The sequence below is a fragment of the Homo sapiens genome, chromosome 7 (genome assembly GCF_000001405.40).
Source record: "Homo sapiens chromosome 7, GRCh38.p14 Primary Assembly".
In the NCBI taxonomy this organism is placed as follows: Eukaryota; Metazoa; Chordata; class Mammalia; order Primates; family Hominidae; genus Homo; species Homo sapiens.
Window position 1 is genome coordinate 73,699,090 of NC_000007.14, and position 22,424 is coordinate 73,721,513.

Sequence of the window (22,424 nt, forward strand, 5' to 3'; positions counted from 1 at the left end):
CAACCTGTGGTCCCAGCTCTGTGGGAGGCTGAGGTGGGAGGCCAGCTTGGGCAATAGTGAGAACCCTCCTAAGGTTTTCCCCCAGGAGACCTGGGGAAGAAATCTACAACAGAGGCCTGGTACAGATACAAATGTTTATTCTACATAAAAATTTCACAAAATGGGCAGCTGGTTGTACCAAGACCTTTGGTGAAGGGGTTGGGGGGAATCGCTGTTCAAGAAGGCAACACGGACAGTGGTCACAGTCACTGGGCAGGAGTAAAGCCGAGGGAGGGTGGGGCACACGGACACGGCCCCATCCCCTGCTGCATGCACTCGCATGCATCTCCCTGCCTGTCCACAAGGGAGAGGGTCCTGGGGCGGGGGCACATTTCCCATGAGAAGCCCCAAGGTGGTGAGGAGGAGGAGGTAGCCCTCCCCGGCTGGCTGCCGAATACTGCATCTGGGACACGTGACACCCACGTGGCACATCGATGGGAGGATGGCAAGGGCAGGATGAGACTGCAGGCCTGAAATGACATCTGACTTCCCAGAGCGCAAGACAACAGGAGCCACCATCCCAAACATGCAACGCTGGCTTGAGGGACTGACTGCAGCCTGCTTTGCCTCCCTAGCTGCTGGGGTGGCTGGAAATAGGGCACCAGCCAGCCCCTTCCAGAGGGACACCTGGGGTCAGACCTAGCCCAAGGGGTTGCTCCTGGGGCCGGAGGAATGTGGGAAGGGAAGCTGAGGCCCAGGACCCGATGGACTTTGCCCCTAGGCAGGGGAGGGAGCCTGGAGCCATGGCAGCCTGAGCCTCCCTGGCAGTGATCAGCGACTGAGACTCAGAGCTGGGCTGTCCCTCAGGGCCACCTCTCCCCTAACCTGAAAAGCAGCACCATGTGGCCAGCTGGTCCCCACCCCTCAGGGCTCTGCTTGTGGGGACAGCTGGAGAGGACAGGGCAGGTCAGCTGGAGGCGAGGTTAGGGTCCCCAGGGAAGAGCAGAACCTGGGCCCACCGAGTTACTGAAGGCAAGGAAGGGTGGCCTGTGTCACCCTGGCGGCCCTGCCTGGGTCTGCTCCTCGCTGTGCACACTGCATCACGCCCCGCTGGCTGCCTCCCTCTGCCTCTTCCCGTACAGACGCACACTCACAGAGATCATGCACACGACACGGGGCGGGGACGGAGGGCCCATGGCAGAGAAGGGAGCATGGGGGCCGGGAGGGAGGGTGCTCTGAGCCAGAGGCGGGGGTTGGGAGGGCAGCCCAGCCAGGTGGCAGCAGCCAGGGCCTCCTTGGAGTGGCCCACCTGGAGTGGAGTGGCAGTTTGGGTGGCTTCTAGGCGAAGATGCCCCCAACAGTGGAGGCGATGACGATGCCCAGGATCACACAGCAGATGATGATCATGATTTTCTTCTGCATGGGAAGCGGGCAGGAGAGGCCTCAGACAGTGTTGGCGGCAGGTGGGGTGGGACTATGGCAAAGGCTGAGGACTGGACAGTCGGGGGGGATCCAAGCAGGGGAAGGTGACGGCCTGGGAGGGGGCTGTCATGGGGAGCTCCTGAGAGAAGGGAGAGAGGTGGGATGGGGAGGGATGTGGGATGGTTGGGGGTCCCTAATGGGTGCTGGGGCATGGCCTTGGGCAGGGCTGGGCTACTGACCCGGCGCGCCTTGCTCTGGTACTTGACGGCCTTCTTGGTGTCAGACACGGCCCTCTCCACATAGTCTACCGCGTGTTCCACATTGTACTCGATCCTGTCAATCATCTCTCCCTGCGGGGCCGGGGGCACCCGAGCTCCAGAGGGCCCCCTCCTCAGGGTTGGGTTGGGGCTCGGGGCAGGACTTCAGGAAAGCACCCTGAGGCTAGAGACAAAAAGGGGGCGTGAGGAGGTTAGGGTACAGCTTCTCACCTGGGCCAGGTACCCTGGGTGGGGTGTAGAGGGCCAGGCAGGCTCCCCAAGGCAGCTCCCACATTTCCCCGCAGAGCAGCAATCCTGGGGGTGGAGCTGGCCATGCAGTCTCAGCTGAGGGTTGGGGACCATGCAGAGAACACTGTCAGAGATGTGGCAGTGCCAGGCAGAGGAAGGTGGGAGCAGGAGTGGGTATGCTGGAGTCTGGTCCTGCCCTGGCCATAGCTCCTGAGGTGGCCACAGGTGAGCCTGCCCACACCCCCATCCTCAGGCATGACAGCTCCATCCAGCTCTGTCTGCTGTCTGGGGTCTTCAGTCTTTAAGAACTTGAAGTCAGGTTCGAGACCATCCTGGCCAACATGGTGAAACCCCATCTCTACTAAAAATACAAAAATTAGCTGGGCGTGGTGGCGAGCACCTGTAGTCTCAGCTACTCAGGAGGCTGAGGCAGGAGAACTGGTTGAACCTGGGAGGCAGAGGTTGCAGTGAACTGAAATCCTGCCACTGCACTCCAGCCTGATGACAGAGTGAGACTCCGTCTCAAAAAAAGAAAAAGAAAAAAAAAAAAATAGAACCCCCTGCCCAGCCCACAGCCCTTTTGAGCCCTGTGATCTGGTCCCATGCTGCCCCCAGAGGCCAATCTGACCATGACACTGCCCCACAAGACTCCTAGGGCGTGTCTCCCTCTCCAAGTCCATCGGTTGCCTTCACTGGCGTCCACGTCACCATGGTCTGTTTCTCACCAGATGGCGGCAGCGGCAGCCTCCTGACGGCCTCCGTACTTCCTAACCAAGGCCACATCACTCCCATACTTAACACATTCCAACCTGGCTGGGTGCTGTGGCTCACATCTATGATCCCAGCACTTTGGGAGGCTGAGGTGAGAGGATCACTTGAGCCCAGGAGTTCCGAGACCAGCCTGGGCAACACAGCAAGATCCCATCTTTTGCTAAAACAAAACAAACAACCCAAACCCCCTCCAATCTAGAAGAGACCGCAAATTCCCCAGCACACTGCCTGCCAAGGCCCCGTCCACCTCGTCTCCAGCTTCATCTCAGCTCCGACCACTCCTTGTGCCCCAGCAGCAAGGACCTCCTTTTTCTGTTCCTGAAATAAGTCTGGGTCTTGCTGGGCTTGGGACCTTAGTGTTGCTGGGGCCAGCTCTTCATCTCCGCTGCGAAGTCTTCACAGCTGGCTCCTTTTCCCCCTTTTTTGGCATCAGCTCAAATGTCCCCTCCTGAGAGGCCTTCCTTGACCACTCACTCCAACAAAGGCAGCCGCCCCATCGTGGTCACGGTGTTACTCTGTGTAACTTTGGAACCATAGTGGTGGTGGCACCACCTTTGAGCTTGTCAGAGAGGCACCTTCCTGGACCTTCACCTCAGCTGCCAGTCTCTGGGACGGGGACCTGGAAACTTACAAGTCCTCCAGGTGACTCATTCAAGTTTGAGCCCCACTGGAGAACCTTCGATTTGTTCTTAGGCAACTCTTTTGCCCAACAGCCATTCACTCCAGGAAGCAGGTCCCTGAGCTGTCCTGGTCACTGCTATGCCTTCAGTCTCTGGGGAAATGCGTGGCCCACAGTGGCCCCATGAGGAAACAGTAGTAGGGGAATGAGAGACGGCGGGGTATAGAGGGTGGGGCCATGCAGGGCCTGGGGTCCTTGAAGCTCAAGCAGAGCCATGCAGAGGACAGGGACCTTCGGGTCGGCAGGGCCCTGGCGGCAGTTTCAACAGCGGGTGATTGGTTACCTGAGAACTTGGTCCCTCCCCGGCAGGGCAGCGTGTCGGGCAGAAAGGGCGAGGTTAGTGCAGCCCTGGGTGCTGGTGTGGGCTGGAGTGGAGGGCAGGGGGGCCCGGCACTCACCTGGCTCTCCACGAGCATGGCCATGTCCATGAACATGTCGTGTAGCTCACGGATGCTGTTCTCCAGCTTGATGATCTCACTGTGCCGCGTCTCAATCTCGCTCAGAGCCTGCTTCGAGATGCTGGAGTCCATGATGATCTGGGGGTGGGAGCAGGGGGCTGGGACCCAGAGGCTTGCTGAGGGGCAGGGCAGAGGGCCGAGGGGGAGGGCGTTTGGGGTGGGCAGAGCTGCTCCGGAAGGGGGCCTGAGGCTTCCTCCCAAGCCGCAGCCTTCCCCGCCTTGCTACCTGGCTCTGCCACATGCTAGCTGTTACCTAATTTCTCTGCAAGCCAATCTCCTACCTGTAACGTGGGGCTAGTGACACTTTCCACCTGTGCTGGCCACAGAGCGAGTGCTCAGTGACAGTCCTTATCACCAGCATTTTGCAGAGCCGAAGTTGACTGCCCCGTGGACCCAAGCCTGGAACTGCCTTTCTCCCGTCCCTTCCCCCACATTGAATGTGACTGCTCCTCCCCTCTCTCCTGGAACTCACAGCCCCAAGCCTGCCTCGAACACCTGTGTGCCACATCCTTCAGGGAGCACCCCTGCCCGGCTTCACGTGAACACAGAAATGGCCAAATGTCCTCCAGGAGAGGAAAAGGGCCCACGGATAAGAGGAGGAGCCGCTGGCCGCCGGCGAAAGTGAGTCCAACTGGGAGGCATCAGGAGACAGGGGTCTTGAGTCCACCTTTGCCGCTGACATTTATGTGACCTCAGCCTGGTGTTTTCCCCTCTCTGGGACTCTTCCTTCCCTAAAACCTGCCTTACAAGGGGTCTGTGTCCAAATACTGTCCAGACCCAGCACTAGGGGTCATGGACGTAGGGAACATGGTGAGGGGGTCATGGCAGGAGGGATGGGGCCTACACTCACCCCAGAGGCAAAGATGGCGGGGTTCCCACTCTCCAGCATGTCCTCCAGCTCCTCACTGGTCGTGGTCCTGCCGGCTGCAAGCGAGTGGGGTCACACTGAGCCCAGCCCTCTTCGGGGAGTTCAGCAGCAGCATTGGGCCCCGCCCCCTCCGTCCCAGGCCCGGGCTCCCCCCAGCCCCGAGCTCAGCGGCAGCCTCAGGCCCCGCCCCCCCGGCCCTTAACACAGCAGCCGCCTCAGGCCCCCGCCCCTCCAGCCCCAAACTCAGCAGCTGCCTCGGGCCACCCGCCTCGGGCCCCTAACTAAGCAGCAGCCTTGAGCCACGCACTCAGCAGCAGACTCGGGCCCCGCCCCTCCAGGCTCCAGGCCCCGCCCCAGGCCCCACCCCCAGCTCACTGATCTCCAGCTGCCTCTGGATGCGGCCTTTGCAGCGCTCGCGGTAGTCGGACTGCGTGGCGTTGTACTCCGACATGACCTCCACAAACTTTCTGGACAGCGTGGAGTGCTGGGGGCCCGAGATGGAGGTGCAGGGGTCAGGCCCTGCGGGGACCGACCCAGAGACTCAGGTGCCCGCCCATCCTAGACTCCGTGGCCGCACCTGTGTCTTCCGGATCCTCAGGTCAGCGGAGGAGCGGTTCAGGCCTTCCTCTTGCTCGATGGACTGCTCGATGCCTGGGGGCACAGGTGGCTGCTAAGTCATAACCAGGCCCCTTCAACCCCGTCCCCTACCCGCACACCCAGCATCTATCCACCTTCCCACATCCCCTAGGGTATGTGTGTGGCCTGTGGCTGGTGGGATCAGTGCCAGGCACCGATGGAGGAGGGGCCTACAGAAGCCCTTCCAGCTGTGACGCTGTGTGGTGTGTGCATGTGTGTAAATGCACACCCACTCCAAGCTCTGCGTGTGTGTGAGGTCTGGTAGCTCCGGCCACCCTATGCCTGGGTACCACTCCTTTTCTGCTCAGAAAGGCTGTGTACGAGGGACCATGCCCACAGCGGGGAGAGCCAGGTGGCCCCTCCTGCAGGGCATGTGGCCCCGAGGCCTTGGCACTCATGGGGTGCACGTGTCTGTTCACCCAGAATACCGGGCTTCTGCAAGAGACCAGGAAGTACTGGCCACTTCTTCAACCCTCTTTAGCAGAGGTGAGGGGCAGTGCCCATCCAGAGTGGAGCCCTCCCTCGCCAAAGCCTTAGGTGGGTGTGTCCCTGGGCCCAGCCCAGAGTCTGGCACCAACGGGCCTTGCCAAGTAGCTGCTGAGTGAATGGGCACATGACGCCACCCTCAGAAAGGAAAGCAAGATCCGGCGCACCCCCTCAGGGCGAGCAAAACCCCATGGGCTCCGCAGAGGAAGCAGGCCTAGAATGCCCCCCACCCACCCCCAGACAAGCCTGACTCACTCTTTAACTTGGAACGAACTTTGTTTGCTGTCTTCTTTATGTCGGACATGAGTTCTTCCAGCTCCTCCTTCGTCTCTGGGGAGGTAGAAAGGGTGGGGGTAGGCCTCCTAGGCTCCGCGGGGACTGATGTGCAGGCTCAGCCTCCAGCCCAGGGGGCCCAGTGGGAGGCTCTGGGAAGATCCCTGTTCTCCCCTGTTCCCCTGGCTAAGGCTCTGCCTGCCCGCCCCCCTCCCCCAATTCTGGGCCAGGGCTGCACCAGCTGCAGCTTCACCCCCTCTTGTGCTGTCTTCGGAGGAGCCTCCCTTCCTCCTTTGCTGGCGCCCCCACCCCCTGGAGATAACAGATGGGTCTAAATTTAAGGCAGAAGTAATTGTGGAGCAGCTGGCGATGCTGGAGTTGGCGCCGGGAACAGTGACTTGATGCTTGCTGGAGTTGAAGGGGTGGGGGGGCGGTGTGGGCTCACCTGGTGTTACCTGGTGGCTCAGGAGGGTACGCAGCCAGGCAGGGGGTTGACAGGGGACCACCCCACACTCCCTGAGTCATATGCGCAAACACTCTGGGTGGGGCAGACCTTGCTGTTCCCACAAAGCTACGCCTCCCTGGGTGCTAAGTACCTGGCGGGCGGAAGAGGGCAAGGGGTGGATGGCCTGGGTGGGCGCTGATGTGGGCCCTCAGGTCCAAAGAGGTGGGCACAGTTGGCCCTGGCCGTGGCAGGTAGCTGGGGCCCTGGTGAAATTGGACGAGGGTGGTGACATAGTGTTTTGTGGCCCTTGTTCCAACTAGAACCATCTCCCTAAAGCTGGCAGAGGCCATGGGGGTGCCCAGCTTGCCCCCCTGCCTGAGAGAAGCTGGATGGAAAAGTGGGACAAGACAGCTGCCTCCCTTGGGGGTGCTCCTGGCAACACCCCAGTCTCAGGACACCCCCAGGACTCTGCCCCGAGAGAAGCCGGGACTGAGCTCTGGCTATCACCTTCCCACCTGCCCCTCTGCTTGCCCCTGGGGCTGGGGTTTGTCCTAGAGGGGACAGGGAGGGGTGTTGAGAGTGGTCTATCAGGAAGGCCCCGGATGGGGTCACCTCCCAAGTGGAATGCAGTGAGGTGGAGCGGGGAAGGGGGGGTTCCGAGGCGCGGAGGAGGGCGCCTCATCCGTAGGAACAAAGGAAAAGTCGGTTACCAGCTGCTCTGACGTCTCAGCCTCTTTTGCTCAGACCCAAAATAGCCCAGGCCGGATGGCAGCCCCCAGAGGAGGCAGAGCCTGCCTTGCCCGGGAGAGCCCCCCACTCATTGCCATCTTTCCTTGAGACTTCTCCTTAACTCTGTGCCGCCTGTGCCCTAGAACCCCCAACATGAGCCCCCTCCTCTTAGCGAGAGCCTGGGACTCCGCCAGGTCTCAACTGCTCAGCTCACGGGTGGTGACTCAGAACCGGTCCCTATGACTGTGCATGACACCGCAGCAGGAGACGGTGCAGGAGGTGGCCTGCAGGAGCCCAAGGTGTGGAGCAGACAGCTCTGCTGCCCCATGCCCGCCCCACCTGCCAGCAGTGAGAGACCCACTCCCCTGCTCTTTAGAGCCCTCCGTCCCCACCCCACAATCAGCCACCTCCTGACCCTGAGCAGGAACAGCCCACAGAGGGACACACAGTGACCCAGATACCTCTGGGCGCACAGACATCCGTCTCATGCTGCCATCCAACAAATCTCTCAGGCAAGGAGCTCAGCGTGGTGAGCCCTGGGCGTCCCTCTCTCCCTCCTGCCCTTCCTGAGGCAGTCCACCCTGCTCCCACCTGACCCATTTTGCCTTCTGAGGGCGGGGCACTGGCTTAGTTGGTGTGGCACTGACCTGGGTTCATGCACACTTTGGGGCTGTGAAAAGATTTACTCTGGGTTCTTGAAGATGCCAGTGGGCTTGGGGGTGAGGGGTCATAGACCAGGAGGCCGTGCTGGAGGTGAGAAGAAAATCTGACCCCGGGCACCTGGGTGGCCAGCGCTTGCCTCCCTCAAACACCTGATGGCTGCATCCCTGGGGCTCATGGTGAGCCCCCCTCCAGGGAAGGGCACCTATGCCATCAGCCTGGCATCTCTCAGTGTAGTAAACAACATCTCAACAGGAACATGAGGACCGGGTCAGGGGGACCTGTCTGGGGACAGAGTGCGAGCCTGACACACAGGCTCCCAGTGTGGAGGGAGAGGGGTGACTTCCTGGAGCCCTGAGAATGCCCGCCCCGGGGTGCCACATGGCCAGGTGCCAGGGCTGCCAGCTCCTTCCGGAAGCTCTGCCTGCTTGGCCAGCTTGCCCTCCCACAGCGCTGACGACTTAGAGCTGCCATCTGCTCCCCTGGGAGGCGAGGGGAGGGGCGGGGCTGGACCGAGAGGCCTTCCTATTGATCACAGACAGCTTCCTCCTTCCCTCCTTCCTTCCCTCGCTCCCAGAAGCCCAGGGCTGCAGCCAGCCCAGTTGCCTTAGAAAAAAGCCAGTTCGAAATGAAAAAAAATACCTTCTTGGGGCTGGGCGTGGGGGCTCATGCCTGTAATCCCAGCACTTTGGGAGGCCGAGGCGGGCGGATCACCTGAGGTCGGGAGTTCGAGACCAGCCTGACCAATATGGAGAAACCCCATCTTTACTAAAAATACCAAAAATTAGCCGGGCGTGGTGGCGCATGCCTGTAATCCCAGCTACTTGGGAGGCTGACGTAGGAGAATTGCTTGAACCTGGGAGGCGGAGGTTGCAGTGAGCCGAGATGGCACCACTGCACTGCAGCCTGGGTGACAGAGCAAGACTCCGTCTTGAAAAAAAAAAAAAGAAAAAAGAAAAGAAAAAAGGAAAAAAGCCAGTTCGGCTGGGCGCGGTGGCTCATGCCTGTAATCCCAGCACTTTGGGAGGCTGAAGCAGGTGGATCACGAGGTCAGGAGATCAAGACTGTCTTGGCCAACATGGTGAAACCCCGTCTCTACTAAAATACAAAAAATTAGCCGGGCATGGTGGCGCGTGCCTGTAATCCCAGCTACTTGGGAGGCTGAGGCAGGGGAATCGCTTGAACCCGGAAGGCAGAGGTGGCAGTGAGCTGAGATTGTGCCACTGCACTCCAGCCTGGCGACAGAGCAAGACTCCATCTCAAAAAAAAAAAAAAAAAAAGAAAAAAAGAAAAAAAAGGCCAGTTCACCTGGGAAGGGCGGGGCCGATCGCCTCTCCCATCACCCAAGTCTTTCATGGAGACCTGGTCTGGCCGGCCTGGGATGCTGGGTACTGACCCCCCAGTTCCAAGCCGGGGACAGCTGCATTTCCCAAGGCTTCTCGTGAAACCCTCCCGACCCTGGCCCGCCCAGACACTCCTAAGCCCACCAGCCATGAAGGCTGCAGAGGTCCCGTGAGGCCTCCCTGGCAGCAGCCCCTTCCCGAGGCTTGTGGGGCCTGAAACCCGTCCCCCGCCCCACACACTCACTCTCATCGGGGTTGGGGGATGCCAGGATGGCACTGTGCTTCCGCTTCACCTCCTCCACGTTCTCTGCGATCTTGTCAATGAAGCCTCGAATCTCCTCCACCTGCGGACCAAGGCCAGGTGGTCAGGAGAAGGAAATCAGGGGAGAAGCCTTCTGGGGCCCAGAGATGGCCCAGAGTAGGGCTGCGGTCAGGGCTCAGGGGGAGGACGGGCCAGGCTCCGGGTGCTGGGGTGCAGTGGGGGTGCATCCTTCCAGACCCAGATGGGGAGGAGTGTGATCCCAGATTTAGCTCCGCTCTGAGCTTCCATCTATTCACCCTCAAAACGGTTCATTCGTTGGCACCCCGGAGCTGCTGAGCCAGGTGCAGGTGTGAAAGAGCACTGAACCTGGCTCAGAGGCGAGAGTGGCCCCCCAAGTTCTGCCAGTGTGCGGGAAGGGTGGGGTGTGCTGGCTCCCACCTGCTCAAAGAACTCATCCATGAAGCGGTCTCGGTCCACGGTGACAGCGACATCATCATCATCATCGCTGTCCTTGGCCTGTGCGGGGTTGTGCACACATAAGTGGACGTATGTACAGGACCCACCTGTACACACGCAGGTGCCCAGGGTACAGCGCCAGGGCCCTGCCCCTCCCCCTCTCCCTGGGGGCCTCTGGGCAGGGACAAGAACAGGCCTGGCTGTTCCGCTCCCAGCCACAGTAAGATCTGGAGGACCACTGGGGGCCCGGCACAGAGAGAGGAACCTTGCCTGATACACTGGTGTCAAGGCCAAGTCTCAGCCTCTGGGCCAGGGACTTCCTCCCTCACCTATCTGCCTGCCCCCTCCCTGTGGCTGGGGAGGCAAGCGAGCCTGGGGCCGGCCGCTCTGTCTGGGCCCTCTGGGTCCCCTAGGCCCCTAGGACAGCTGCCTGGAAAGTGCATTCTCTACTCTCCTGGCCCTGTGGTTTACACACACACACACAAACACATACACACATCTGTAGAGTTGAGGTCTTGCTGTGTCACCCAGGCTGGAGTGCAGGGGTGCAATCACAGCTCACTGCAGCCTTAAACACCTGGGCTCAAGCGATCCTCCCAACTCAGCATCCCGAGTAGCTGGAATTATAGGTTTCCACAACCATGCCTGGCTCCAGTGGTTTTAATTCAGGTGGAGCCCAGAGGTCCCAAGCTCCCTTTCCAGAGTGGGCCCTATAAGGGGAGACCTGCCTACTGTGTCCCAGCCCTGGGCACCACTAAACCCCAGTCCCGAGGTGGCACGGATCAGATCTCTTAGGAATCTCCTGTGAGTCTTTTTTTAAAACAGTTTTTAAATTTAATTTTTATTTTTGTAGAGACGGGGGTCTCACTGTGTTACCCAGGCTGGTCTTGAACTCCTGGCCTCAAGCGATCCTCCTGCCTCAGCCTTCCAAAGCACTGGGATTGTAGGTGTGAGCCACTGCACTTGGCCTCCCTGTCGGTCTTGCCATTGGACCTCGGTCTGCCTCCTTCCAGTCCCCAGACCTGGGCCCAGCAGGCACAAGGGGACAGTCATGTTGCCACTTGGCTTGGGTCCTGCCTTAGGCCTCAGCCACAGTTACAAGCCCCACTCCACTGTCCCAGGACCAGCTGTACAAAAGCCACCCCCATCGTGGGGCAGGGGTAATCATACTTCTGACTTCCCAGCATGCTGCGCACAATTATTACTGTCTGCCTCATACCGCCAGTTGGCCAGGGTCAGCCCACGCTGCTGGCAAGGCCAGGTCTCTCTCTGCAGCCAAGGCAAGGATATCCGGGGTGGCCACCCTGGGGCAGGGACTGAGGTCTCTCAGCCTGGGGCTCAGGGCTTGTTCCCACCTCTTTTATTTTTATTTTTTTATTTTTTGAGAGAGTCTCGCACTGTCACCTAGGCTGGAGTGCAGTGGTGTGATCTTGGCTCACTGCAACCTCCACCTCCTGGGTTCAAGCAATTCTCCTGCCTCAGCCTCCCGAGTAGCTGGGATTACAGGTGCATGCCACCATGCCCAGCTAATTTTTGTATTTTTAGTAGAGACAGGTTTCACTATGTTGGCCAGGCCGGTCTCGAACTCCTGACCTCAGGTGATCCACCCGCCTCGGCCTCCCAAAGTACTGGGATTACAGGCGTGAACCACCACATCTGATCTTGTTCCCACCTCATTTCTGAGTGCCTCACGGGAGTGGCCACTGACTAGCTCAGCACTGACCCCACCTCGGTGCTCTCGCGTCAGGACGGAGGCAGGTGGAGGTTGAGGGGCTGAGAGAACTGATGGGACTCATCAGGCTGGGCCTTAACCCCTCTGGCTCTATTTACTCTTCTGTGAAATGGGGACAGTGACACCTGGCTGCATGGAGGGAGGGCTGAGAAAAAGTGGGGAAGCAGGGCAGGTATGTTTGTTTGATTGATGGATGGACTGATTGATTGATTGAGACAGGGTCTCGCTCTGTCACCCAGGCTGGAGTGCAGTGGCACAATCATAACTCCCTGTAGCCTCAACCTCCCGGGCTCAAGCCATCCTTTCACTTCAGCCTCCCAAGCAGCTGGGACTACAGATGCATCAGATGCATGCCACCACACCCAGCTACTTTTTGATTTTTTTTTTTTTTTTGTAGCGACAGGGTCAAACTATGTTGCCCAGTCTGGTCTCAAACTCTTGGGCTCAAGTGATCTTCCCACCTTGGCTTCCCAAAGTGCTGGGAGTATAGGTGTGAGCCGCCACCATGCCCGGCCTGAGCATGTTCTGTGAGGGGCTCACATCACCCCATCAAAGTGGGGACTCATGGGGAGAGGGGGTAGTTAGGAGCTTTGATAGAGGCGGCTCAGAGGGGCCTCCTCTCTTTAAGATATCGTACCACCTCCCCAGCAGCTAAAATAAATCCTCGTTCCCACTCCCCACCGAGTGCCTGGGGCTGTCACCAGGTGGTACCCCCTCCCCCACCAAGCTCCCTACAGACACAGAAAATCCAGGAGCCGTTTTCACGCTTTTAGACCGTGACAGGCCTAGGAGTTGAGTCAGAGGAGCCCTCCCTAGGGAAACTGAGGCAGAGCACTGCCAGGAGGAGCCCAGTTCCTCCTCCTGGGCAGGCTGCCAGGTTGGGAAGTGGCCCCAGGAGCTCCTGCCATTCAGTGTCCTGCCCTCTCTGCCCTGGTGCTCAGAGGATCAGGGTAGATGACAAAGGGTGGATGGAGAATTATCCAGCTCCTTTTCCGTGGCCAGAGACGAGCGTCACTGCCAGCCCCACCGAACCCCTGTCCTGCCCTCAGAGACCCCTGGCACCTGTCTGGTGCCTCTCTTGACCTCAGCTTGCCCATCTGTGTAATGAGGGCAGATCTTCTCCAGGCATCCGGCCAGCTCTGACCTGCTACCTTCCCAGAAGGCTGAAGGCTGGACCAGGAAGCTTCTCTAACAGAAGGGCTGGGAGGAGAGATGCCCGCATCCTCCTCTGGACCCTCCGTCTATGAGGGTAGGGCTGGGGAAAGGGAGATCAGGGCCAGGGTAGATGGGGGCACGCAGGTCAAGTCTACCCTGGAGGTGGCATTGAGATTGGCCCCAAAGCCAGTCGGGGGGCTGAGGGCCTGACCTCTGAGGCATGGTCAAACCAGCCACAGCTCCAAGCAAAACCTAGAGGGGATGGGCGAAGTGGGCCTTTCCTCCCCACGTCCTTCTACTTCTTCGTTCTTGGGAATTTTCACCCCCAGCTCTGCTCTTTATCCTGCTGCCCTCCCCTGGGATCAGACCCCACTCCCCCACACCTACAACTGGTTCCTGGCCCTACAATCCACCCTCTGCCCCCAACTTCCCCCAGGCACATCCCTTTGCCCGGGATGCTGATTCCATGAAGGTGACATTCCCTTCTTCCTCGATGCCACCTCCTTCCAGAAGCCTCCCTGCCCCCCCAAATCAGTATCTCGCACCTTGTTCTTCCACACGCCATTCACATTCCTATTGGAGCCATGGCTGAAAACTCTCAGGCCCTAAGGGACCTGAAAAGTCCCCCTGGCTTCAGCTGCCAGCCTCAGCTTGCAAACCTCCTGTGACAGTGAGCTCACTAGCTTCCCCAGACAGCTCTGCCCATCTCGGGCAGCCCCAACTGTTAGAGTCCTTCTCTTCCCTGTGGTTTGGTTCCAGGCCATAAAGAACCTGTGGGTGCCCTCTCCCTGGGGTACCCCTGCTATAGATTTGAAGGCGGCATCCACATCCTCCCTAGATTTTTCTTTTTAAGTATTCCTTCCCTTTCAGATCCTTCCCAGGGACCCCAAATTACAGCCCCTGCCCAAGAGTTGTTCCACTGTGCCTCTGTCTCCTGTCATACAGCACACAAACTGAATCTGCTGCTGACTGTGGTCTGGGCAATGCCAAAGATCTGGCCCATCCCCTCCCTCTTTCTATATGATCTACCTCTAGTAATACAGCCAGGAATCAGATAAGTGATCATGTAGCATTTCCTGTCAAGAAAAGCCCCAAGCCCTTCCCAACCACTGTCTGTGGAGTGGATTTGGGGTTCGAGTGAAGGACCTTCTTCCTGTTTCATTTCTTCATTTGTTCTGATGCTTATTTCAGTTTGTGGGATTCTGATGGCTCCTGGCTCTGTCGCCCCTGCACCCTCATCCACATCCAAGCTAGAGCCTGGTGGCAGCATTCTAGAGATGTCCTCCAGATTCACTCAGATAAGGAATCAGTTCTCATTGGACACGGAATAAACTGATAAGGACGCGGGATGGCAGAGCCCCACTGCCACCCTCACCTCCTCTGTTTCCCAGCCCAGACACACTCTTGACCAAAATGTAACTAGGTGATGTGGCTACCCTGGCATGCTGTCTTCCTGGTGTCTTGGGCTGGCCAGGGCGGGCACTGTATACATAAAGTGGCCAAGCATGATGGCTCACGCCGGTAATCTCAGCACTTTGGGAGGCCAAGGTGGGAGGATTACTTGAGTCCAGGAGTTTGAGACCAGCCAGGGCAACATAGCAAGACCCCATCTCTATCAAAAGCTACAAAAATTAGCTGGGCGTGGTGCCATGCATCTGTAATTGCAGCTACTCAGGAGGCTGAGGTGGGAGGATTGCTTGAGCCCTGGAGGTCGAGGCTGCAGTGAGCTATGATCGTGCCATTGCACTCCAGCTTAGGTGACAGAGCAAGATCCTGTCTCAAAAAAACAAAAGTGGACACACAGATTTCTGTGGAATAATTAGGGCCCAGCTCCCTTGGGGATCTACCAATGCTTTCTGAGTGGCATTCACAGCTCTGGAGAGGGGGCTGGATTGGAGTTGGGGACTTGGAACCCTTCGCTGTGCAGGTGGCAGCTGGAACTGTGGGGCACAAACTCAAAGGCCCAAGTGTCTTACGGACGGATGTGCCCAGATATCATACGGGCACCTTGCCTGCCTCCTGGCCAAAACCAGGCTCCACCTGTTTTGCCAGAGCCCCATCCTCTGAACTGCCTAGCGCAGAACCCCAAGCCAGAAACCTAGGACATCTGCCATCTTCCTCCTCTTCTCCCATCCAACCAACATCCAATTTGTCCTGGCACTTTTTTTTTTTTTTTTGAGGCAGAGTCTCGCTCTGTTGCCCAGGCTGGAGCGCAGTGGCGCAATCTCGGCTCACCACAACCTCCGCCTCCCAGGTTCAAGCGATTCTCCTGCCTCAGCCTCCCGAGTAGCTGGGATTACAGGCACCCGCACCACACCCGGCTAGTTTTTGTATTTTTAGTAGAGACGGGGTTTCACCATGTTGGCCAGGCTGGTCTTGAATTCCTGACCTCAGGTGATCCACCCGCCTCGGTCTCCCAAAGTGCTAGGATTACAGGCGTAAGCCACCGCGCCCAGCTCTTTTTTTTTTGAAACAGAATCTCGCTTTGTTGTCCAGACTGGAGTGCAGTGGCAAGATCATAGCTCACTGCAGCCTTGATCTCCCAGGCTCAAGCAATCCTCCAGCCTCAGCCTCCAGAGTAGCTGGGACTACAGGTGCCTGCCACCACACCTGGCTAATTTTAAATTTGTGTAGAGATGGTGGTCTCACTATGTTGCTCAGGCTGGTCTCAAACTCCTGAGCTCAAGCAGTCTTCCCGCCTCAGCCTCCCAAGTAGTTGGTACTGCAGGTGTGAGCCCCCAAGCCCAGCTAACATCCTGGTGTTTTTTTGTTCTGCATTCAGCAGTTCTCAAAGCTGGGCGAGCACCAGAATCCTTTGGGGGGGTTAAAAAAAAAAAACAAAAACGGCTTCCAGGGATCCACCCCAAAGAGACTGAATCAGAATTTATAGGGGTAGCCGGGTGCAGTGGCTCATGCCTTAATCCCAGCACTTCGGGAGGCCAAGGTGGGTGGATCACCTGAGGTTAGCAGTTCAAGAACAGCCTGGTCAACATGGCAAAACCCCATCTCTACTAAAAATACAAAAATTAGCCGGGTGTGATGGTGCATGCCTGTAATCCCAGCTACTCGGTAGGATGAGGCAGGAGAATCACTTGAACCTGGGAGGTGGAGGTTGCAGTGAGCCAAGATTATGCCACTGCACTCCAGCCTGGATGACAGAATGAGACTCCGTCTAAAAAAAAAAAAAAAATTGGCTGGGTGTGGTGGCTTACACCTGTAATCCCAGCACTTTGGGAGGCCGAGGCGGGCAGATCACGAGGTCAAGAGATCGAGGCCATCCTGCCCAACATGGTGAAACCCCGTTGCTACTAAAAATACAAAAATTAGCCGGGCATGGTGATGCACACCTGTAGTCTCAGCTACTCAGGAGGCTGAGGAAGGAGAATCACTTGAACCCAGGAGGTGGAGGCTGCAGTGAGCTGAGATGGCACCATTGCACTCCAGCCTGGAGACAGTGCGAGACTCCGTCTAAAAAAACAAAAAAAAAACCAACAAAAAACACCACCTCCAACCAGGAAGGCTGGGAGGGAGTGCTCCTTACCTCCCTAGCATGGAGACTGCTAGGAAGAACAGACCCTGCTGGAACCACGGGGAGCTGGATGCCCTGAGCTTCCCCTGGCAGAGGTGGGGCAGCCCTGGTGGTCTCTCCTAGCAGAGACTCCAGGATTCCAGGACACCTTCCTGGATGTAATAGTCTGACTCCTCCAAGAGGCGCAGAGGCCAGGCAGCCTCCAGGCGTGTCCCAGGGGAAGCCACCAGGCTGGCAAGGTTGATTCATCACTGCTGAGCACAGTGGCTGTTGTCTGCCTCGAGGGCTATTTTTTTCCCTTCTTCTTTTAAATGACTAATCAAAGTCAATATCACTAGTGCAGAGAGGCCCGGAGCTGAGTCAGGGGTGTGCGAGAGGCCAAGCTGGGTCTCCAGGAAAGACGGCTGTGCAATCTGAGCCTCCTCACCCTGTCTCCAGCCTCCAGCTGTGTGTACACCAGGTCCCCGCCCTGCAGAGCCTGCCCCTTCACAGGGCCCCAGAGTGGCTCAGGGAGGCAGCTTCAGGCCGTGGAAGGGGCCAGGCTCTGCCCCCACAGGCTGCATGACCTCAGATAAACACCTGGCCCTTTCTGGACCTGTTTTCTGATCTGTAAGATAGGAGGTTGAACTAGATGGTCCCGGGAGGCCGTTCCACCTGCACCCCAGATGAAAATGTACCCAAATGCATCGTTCATGCTGGGAAACCTCTGGAACGTAATGGGAGGAAGGATCGGGCGAGCCCTGTCCGGCTCCTGTTCTTACACTCTCGTGCCTGCCACTCTGCAAAGTAGGTAACACTGGCTCCATTCTGCAGATGAGGAAATGAGCAGAGGGAGATTAAGGATGAACCTGCCCGGTGTTGCCACCCAACCGCCAGACTCTTCCCAGCAACGAAAGAGAAGGGGAAACTGATGGGCAAAGCAGGGCCCTGGGCCTTCCCATCCAGGCCTGCCTGGGCTGCTCCAGTGAGTTGGGCCCTAGTCTAGACCTCAAGGCACTTCAGGGGGCCCCAGACACCAGCTGTCAGGACCACCTGCTATTCTCTCCTGGTTGAGCATTCCAATCTCTCTGCCTTCACTAAGCTGTCCCCTCCTTTGGATCACCTTCTCTCCTCCTATTCAAATCCAGCTCCTGCTCCTGTGCTATCCCAGGGTCTCTTCTTCCAGGAAGCCTTCCAGGATTGTGCTGCTCCAACTCTCCCTCCTTGCTACGTCTTCAGCCTCCTGCAACAGGTCCCATGTGTCTGTCCCACATGACCTGGCACATAGACAAATACATGTTCTGGGCCCAGGGAGAAAGGTCAGCTCTGCAAAGTCCCCAGGAAGAAAATCAGGGAGTCTCTGAGTTGAGGGGAGGAGGCAGCTACAGCCTGAGTGGGGCTCCTGGGGATGCTCTAACCTAAAAGTCTTTCCCTGGCTGTGTGACCCTGGCCCTGTCTTCGGTCTCTCTTTGTTACCTGTAACCTGCAAGTGGCCTTTCTGATCTCTGAGGGACTGCGACAGCATTGAGGCCCCCTGGCTAGTCCCCAGTGACCCCCTTCACTCCCCATCTGCAGAGGGAGAGTTGGGAGCTGGAGAAGGCTGGAGAAGGCTGGAGGGCTGGGCCGGGCCTGCAGAGTGAGGAAACGCGCCAGCTCCTTCCCCAAGTGTGACTTTTATAAATAAGCTCTCTTCGCCTCCTTCCAAATGTGGTGGTGTTGGGTGGGGGAGAAGGAGAAAGAAGAGGGAGGAGGAGGAGGAAGAGGGAGGGAGGGAGGGCTGGGAGCGGTGCACAGCCGCTGTCCCCAGCACCATCTCTGTTCAGCCCAGCCCAGCCCAGCCCGCCCCAGTCCAGCCCAGTCCAGCCCAGTCCAGCTCAGCCAGTGCTGGCCTCTTCCTTTCTGGGGATTCTGGGCTGAAAATTCTGACTCCTGGGGCTTCAGGCCTCCTACAAATGTGGAGCTGGAGTCAGGAGACCTGTAGCCCTGCTTCTCGTCCCGAGAAACTGAATTCTAGGCTTTCCCATCCCCACTTCACAGATGGGAACCCTAGGTCCAGAGGGAAAGCAGCCTGTGGGAACAGTGGCCCCACCAAGACTGACTGTCTCACCCCACCCCGGGTGGGCTCCTGCCTGCCAGCCGTCCACCTGTCTGCTAGAAAGCCCTCCCTGGGCAGGGCCACCCAGCAATGGGTACAGCCTCCCTGGGCTCTGAATGCCTTGTGTGGGGAGGGTGGGGGTGTCTGGAGCGGAAGCCTCAGACCATTCAAAGCAAAGCCTGGCTTCACCATCTAATCAGGGGGCGAGGAGGTAGTAACAGAGACAGACATCAGAGCAAAAAGATCTGGGTTCAAACGCTTCACAACCCCAGCTCCACTGGCTGTCCCCCAGTGTCAGCCAGGCCTGAGTCTGACTATCTTCAGGGATGAGGCAAAGCCCTTTTCTACCACCCCTCCCTCTAGCAGGCAAGCCGTGTTTCTTTTGTGCCTCAGTTTCCCCTTCAGCTAGGGGGATGAAGGCTGACATGCCAGAGGCTATTATCCTATGTAGGGGCCCATGGTTCCCCTGACCACTTGGTTCCCACACACACCCTCAGGTAACCTACCAGGCGCCTAAACATCAGCACATTACACCACACAGCCATCCGTCACCAGGAAAACACTCATTCTGACTCAACGGAGCTCAGGAAACTTGAGGGCAACCACAGGGGCCGCGGGGGAAGTGTTTAGAGCCCATATGCGACTTGAGGGACCATCTTCTTCCTTTGAAACCTCATGGGGTTTACACCAGGGGCTGGGCGCTCGGCCAGGAATAACAGGTCTGGAGGCAAAGTGGAGGCCGTGGTGCCAGAGCAAGTGGGGGACATGAAGGCAGGGGAGCCCAGGTCCCGGCTCCAGGATGCCCAGGAGGCAACCATGACATAATGGGGCAGACAGGCTCCAACTCAGGGAGCCTCTGGGTGGAGAAGACAAGCCGTGGGGTCAAATGCCCAAAGGACACTTGACATTTTCCATAGGAGGGGACCTTAGGGTTCTAGTTCCTAGCCCAGGGAGCGGGGTGGGGGGTGCTCCCAGGGATCAGCAGGCAGGGCTGCCAGCCAGGTGGCCAGCCAGGGGACCAGATGACCAGATGAGACTCAATCTAGTCTTGAGCCTTGATCCACCCCCCCTCCCCGACACACCCAGAGAGGCTTCATTTCCGTCGCTGTCCTCCACTCCCGGTCACCATCCTCCTGGGCTCCTCATCCCTAAGGGCAGAGGCCAGGGGAAGGGGACCCACGCAGGCTGCAGGGGTCTCTGGGCTGGGAGAAGGTGGGCTCTGACTCAGAACGTTTGTGCATCCTCCTACTCCCCCCAAACCCCGCCCCAGGAGCCACACCCCAGGGGTTTCCCAGATACAGGTAGAAAAATAGATCCAAGTCGCAAGGAACCCTGAAGGGTCTGGAAACGCCAGCCAGTGCTGCCCGAAAGCCCGAAGGTGGATAGGTGGACCGGGGGCGGGTGTGACGCCCCCCCCCCCATACCTGGGGCGGGCAGTGGATCCCTACTGCGACCAAGCAGAGGGGGAGCCACAGGTGATGGGAGCCACAGGTGACCAGGGTGGCCCGAGGAGGCCGCCACCACCCGACGATCAGGTTTCCGCAGCGCGCCCCGCAGCGGGGCCCCGCGCAGGGGACCGGCACCGGCCCACCGCGGTCCCCTCGTCTGTCTACACCAAGGAGGTTCCCACCGCGGTCCCCTCGTCTGTCTACACCGAGGGGGCACGGGAGGTCAGAGATGAGGGGCAGTGAGGGGGCCAGAGAAAGGGCCTGCTCTGCGGGAGGGGGAAGAGGTCCCGCCACCAAAACCCCATCATACCCTCCGAACCCCCCAAATCAAGAGGGCCCCGAAAAGTTTATCCAGGACCCCGGACTCCAGCCGACCGTCCACGTGTCAGCGCGGCCGAGCTCACGCGAGCCTGACCCCGAGTGGGTCCGAGGGGCGGAACCCGGAGGGGGGTCGAGGTCCCTGGCTCGCCCCGCTCCCTTCAGCCCTGGCTGGGGGCGCAGGAGCGGCCACCATCCTGGCCGCGGGAGCCGGGCGGGAAGTGTCCGGCGCGTTGGCGCTGGCGGCGGGCGGCGGGCGGCCGCGCGCTGGGGCCGGACTCACCGTGCGGAGCTCCTGGGTTCGGTCCTTCATGCTCCCGGGAGTGGCAGCGGCGCCGGCTGCAGCCGTGTGAGCCCCGCATGCGCGACGGCCGCCCCGCGGCTGCGCAGCGCCAGCCCGGCCCCGCCCCGGCCCCCGGGACCCCGGCCCCGCCCCACCCCGCCCGGGCCCCGCCCAGACCCCGCCCAGACCCCGCCCCACCCCGCACGAGCAGCCCCGTGGGGATCGAAGCCCTGGGGTCTCGTCCTGGACGTTCCGCACGCGTGATCGCTCCCGGGGATGGGTCCCCAGAGACCCTGCTGCCTCCTCTGCCCCAGCCCTGTCTCGTTTTTTATTTATTATTTTTGGAGACAGGGTCTCGCTCTGTCGCCCAGGCTGGAGTGCTGTGGTGCAATCATAGCTCACTGCAGCCTTGAGCTCCTGAGCTCAGGCAATCCTCCCGCCTCAGTCTCCTGGGTGGCTGGGACTAGAGTTGCTCGCCACTACTCCTGAATAATTTTCAAATATTTTGTAGAGACAGGGTCTTGCTATGTTACTCAGGCTGGTCTTGAACTCCTGTCCTCAAGCGATCCTCCCTCCTCCCAAAGCTCTGCGATTACAGGCGTGAGCCACCGTGCCTGGCTTCCAGCCTCTTCCCGACTTAGCAGCTCAGCATCCCTGTCCCAGAATCCGGTCCTCATCCTCAGATCCCTTCACTTCCCCAGAATTTGCTGAAGGTTGTAACTCCCTCCTTCATTTCATTACCTTGGGACCTCCTGCTCTCCCTTCTGTTCCCCAGCCAAAAACCTCCTGGAGAGTTCCAGTCTGGGAGCCTCCACCCTTCCCCCTTGCTCCCATCATCCAGTAGGGACTCAGGCACTGGCCTCTTCTTTCCCTAGGATTTCTCAGTTCACAGCTCTGATGCTGCGTGACCCACCCCTTTTTCCTGCAGGATGAAGGAACTCCTCTATCTTTTTATGTTTGTTTGTTTGTTTGATTATTTATTTATGAGATGGAGTTTCACTCTTGTCGCCCAGGCTGGAGTGCAGTGGCGCTATCTCAGCTCTGCCTCCTGGGTTCAAGCGAGTCTCCTGCCTCATCCTCCCAAGTAGCTGGGATTACAGGTGCCCACCACCACGCCCGGCTAATTTTTTGTATTTTTTAGTAGAGACAGGGTTTCACCATGTTGAGCAGGCTGGTCTCAAACTCTTGACCTCTTGATTCTCCCGCCTCGGCCTCCCAAAGTGCTGGGCTTATAGGCGTGAGCCACCGTGCCCGGCCTATTTTTTTTTTTTTTTTTTGAGACGGAGTCTCACTCTGTTGCCCAGTCTGGAGTGCAGTAGCACGATCTTGGCTCACTGCAACCTCCACCTCCCGAGTTCAAGCAATTCTCCTGCCTCAGCCTCCCAAGTAGCTTGAGATTACAGGCACCCACAACCACGCCTGGCTAATTTTTTTGTATTTTTAGTAGAGAAGGGGTTTCACCATGTTGTCCAGGCTGGTTTCGAACTCCTGACCTCAAGTGATCTGCCTGCCTCAGCCTCCCAAAGTGCTGGGATTACAGGTGTGAGCCACTGCACCCAGCCAGGAACTACTCTATCTTTGGGAAAGAGATTTGAGTTATGGCCCCCCTCTCCTCCTTTCCCTGCATCCCCAATCCTGAACTCTGGCTCTAGGCCTGAGGTTCTATTTTCTCTTTTTTCGTTTTTGTAAAGACGGGGTCTCCTCATGTTGCCCAGGCTGGTCTCAAAGTCCTAGCCTCAAGCGATCCTCCTGGCTTGGGCTTCCAAAGCACTGGGATTACACTTGGCCAATGTAGGTTCTATTTTCTATCTAGAAGCCTGGGGCCTGGCTTCCTCTAGGACTCATGGGAAAACCTGTGGAGGAGTGGGAGTGGGGAGGCCAGTCAACAGCAGATGTTCTTTTGAAGGTCCCT

The 22,424-nt window shown here is 58.6% G+C and overlaps 1 protein-coding gene, 1 long non-coding RNA gene and 1 other non-coding gene across 6 annotated transcripts, besides 10 other annotated features; 2 read left to right on the plus strand and 1 right to left on the minus strand.

Annotated features, from left to right (window-relative positions):
• STX1A (syntaxin 1A) lies at window positions 121-20,580 on the minus strand. 4 transcript variants are annotated; one of them, NM_001165903.2, is made up of 10 exons: window positions 20,513-20,580; window positions 9,956-10,033; window positions 9,500-9,599; window positions 6,061-6,135; window positions 5,261-5,334; window positions 5,059-5,167; window positions 4,666-4,739; window positions 3,756-3,893; window positions 1,641-1,705; window positions 121-1,395 (listed from the first exon to the last, which is right to left on the minus strand). In NM_001165903.2, exons 1-10 carry the CDS (start codon window positions 20,540-20,542, stop codon window positions 1,383-1,385), a joined length of 756 nt encoding a protein of 251 aa, NP_001159375.1. In that variant the 5' UTR covers window positions 20,543-20,580; the 3' UTR covers window positions 121-1,382. The 4 variants fall into 4 exon arrangements, with proteins under 4 accessions (NP_001159375.1, NP_004594.1, XP_047276734.1 ...); NM_004603.4 differs by having other exon boundaries at window positions 1,641-1,751; XM_047420778.1 differs by lacking the exon at window positions 121-1,395 and having other exon boundaries at window positions 1,641-1,842.
• Window positions 286-787: an enhancer, noted in NCBI's record as "H3K4me1 hESC enhancer chr7:73113705-73114206 (GRCh37/hg19 assembly coordinates)". NCBI's record gives its function as "activates a minimal SCP1, AML or CMV promoter by ChIP-STARR-seq in primed H9 embryonic stem cells {active_cell/tissue: H9 hESC(primed)}" and the evidence as "EXISTENCE:reporter gene assay evidence [ECO:0000049][PMID:30033119]".
• On the plus strand, window positions 4,001-6,099 carry LOC105375350 (uncharacterized). Its single transcript, XR_927656.3, has 2 exons — window positions 4,001-4,436; window positions 5,743-6,099. It is a non-coding gene; the product is annotated as an uncharacterized LOC105375350 (long non-coding RNA).
• Window positions 4,753-4,882: a silencer, noted in NCBI's record as "silent region_18260". NCBI's record gives its function as "represses an Ori minimal core promoter by ATAC-STARR-seq in GM12878 lymphoblastoid cells {active_cell/tissue: GM12878}" and the evidence as "EXISTENCE:reporter gene assay evidence [ECO:0000049][PMID:35858748]".
• Window positions 8,002-8,211: a silencer, noted in NCBI's record as "fragment chr7:73121421-73121630 (GRCh37/hg19 assembly coordinates)". NCBI's record gives its function as "represses an EF-1alpha promoter that drives an FKBP-Casp9 reporter gene in an ReSE screen in K562 erythroleukemia cells {active_cell/tissue: K562}" and the evidence as "EXISTENCE:reporter gene assay evidence [ECO:0000049][PMID:32094911]".
• Window positions 8,002-8,810: a biological region, named in NCBI's record as "H3K4me1 hESC enhancer GRCh37_chr7:73121477-73122229".
• Window positions 8,058-8,810: an enhancer, noted in NCBI's record as "H3K4me1 hESC enhancer chr7:73121477-73122229 (GRCh37/hg19 assembly coordinates)". NCBI's record gives its function as "activates a minimal SCP1, AML or CMV promoter by ChIP-STARR-seq in naive H9 embryonic stem cells {active_cell/tissue: H9 hESC(naive)}" and the evidence as "EXISTENCE:reporter gene assay evidence [ECO:0000049][PMID:30033119]".
• MIR4284 (microRNA 4284) lies at window positions 12,228-12,308 on the plus strand. Its single transcript, NR_036247.1, has one exon. It is a non-coding gene; the product is annotated as a microRNA 4284 (primary transcript).
• Window positions 16,358-16,889: an enhancer, noted in NCBI's record as "H3K4me1 hESC enhancer chr7:73129777-73130308 (GRCh37/hg19 assembly coordinates)". NCBI's record gives its function as "activates a minimal SCP1, AML or CMV promoter by ChIP-STARR-seq in naive H9 embryonic stem cells {active_cell/tissue: H9 hESC(naive)}" and the evidence as "EXISTENCE:reporter gene assay evidence [ECO:0000049][PMID:30033119]".
• Window positions 19,976-20,055: a silencer, noted in NCBI's record as "silent region_18261". NCBI's record gives its function as "represses an Ori minimal core promoter by ATAC-STARR-seq in GM12878 lymphoblastoid cells {active_cell/tissue: GM12878}" and the evidence as "EXISTENCE:reporter gene assay evidence [ECO:0000049][PMID:35858748]".
• Window positions 20,166-20,225: a silencer, noted in NCBI's record as "silent region_18262". NCBI's record gives its function as "represses an Ori minimal core promoter by ATAC-STARR-seq in GM12878 lymphoblastoid cells {active_cell/tissue: GM12878}" and the evidence as "EXISTENCE:reporter gene assay evidence [ECO:0000049][PMID:35858748]".
• Window positions 20,236-20,435: a silencer, noted in NCBI's record as "silent region_18263". NCBI's record gives its function as "represses an Ori minimal core promoter by ATAC-STARR-seq in GM12878 lymphoblastoid cells {active_cell/tissue: GM12878}" and the evidence as "EXISTENCE:reporter gene assay evidence [ECO:0000049][PMID:35858748]".
• Window positions 20,496-20,695: a silencer, noted in NCBI's record as "silent region_18264". NCBI's record gives its function as "represses an Ori minimal core promoter by ATAC-STARR-seq in GM12878 lymphoblastoid cells {active_cell/tissue: GM12878}" and the evidence as "EXISTENCE:reporter gene assay evidence [ECO:0000049][PMID:35858748]".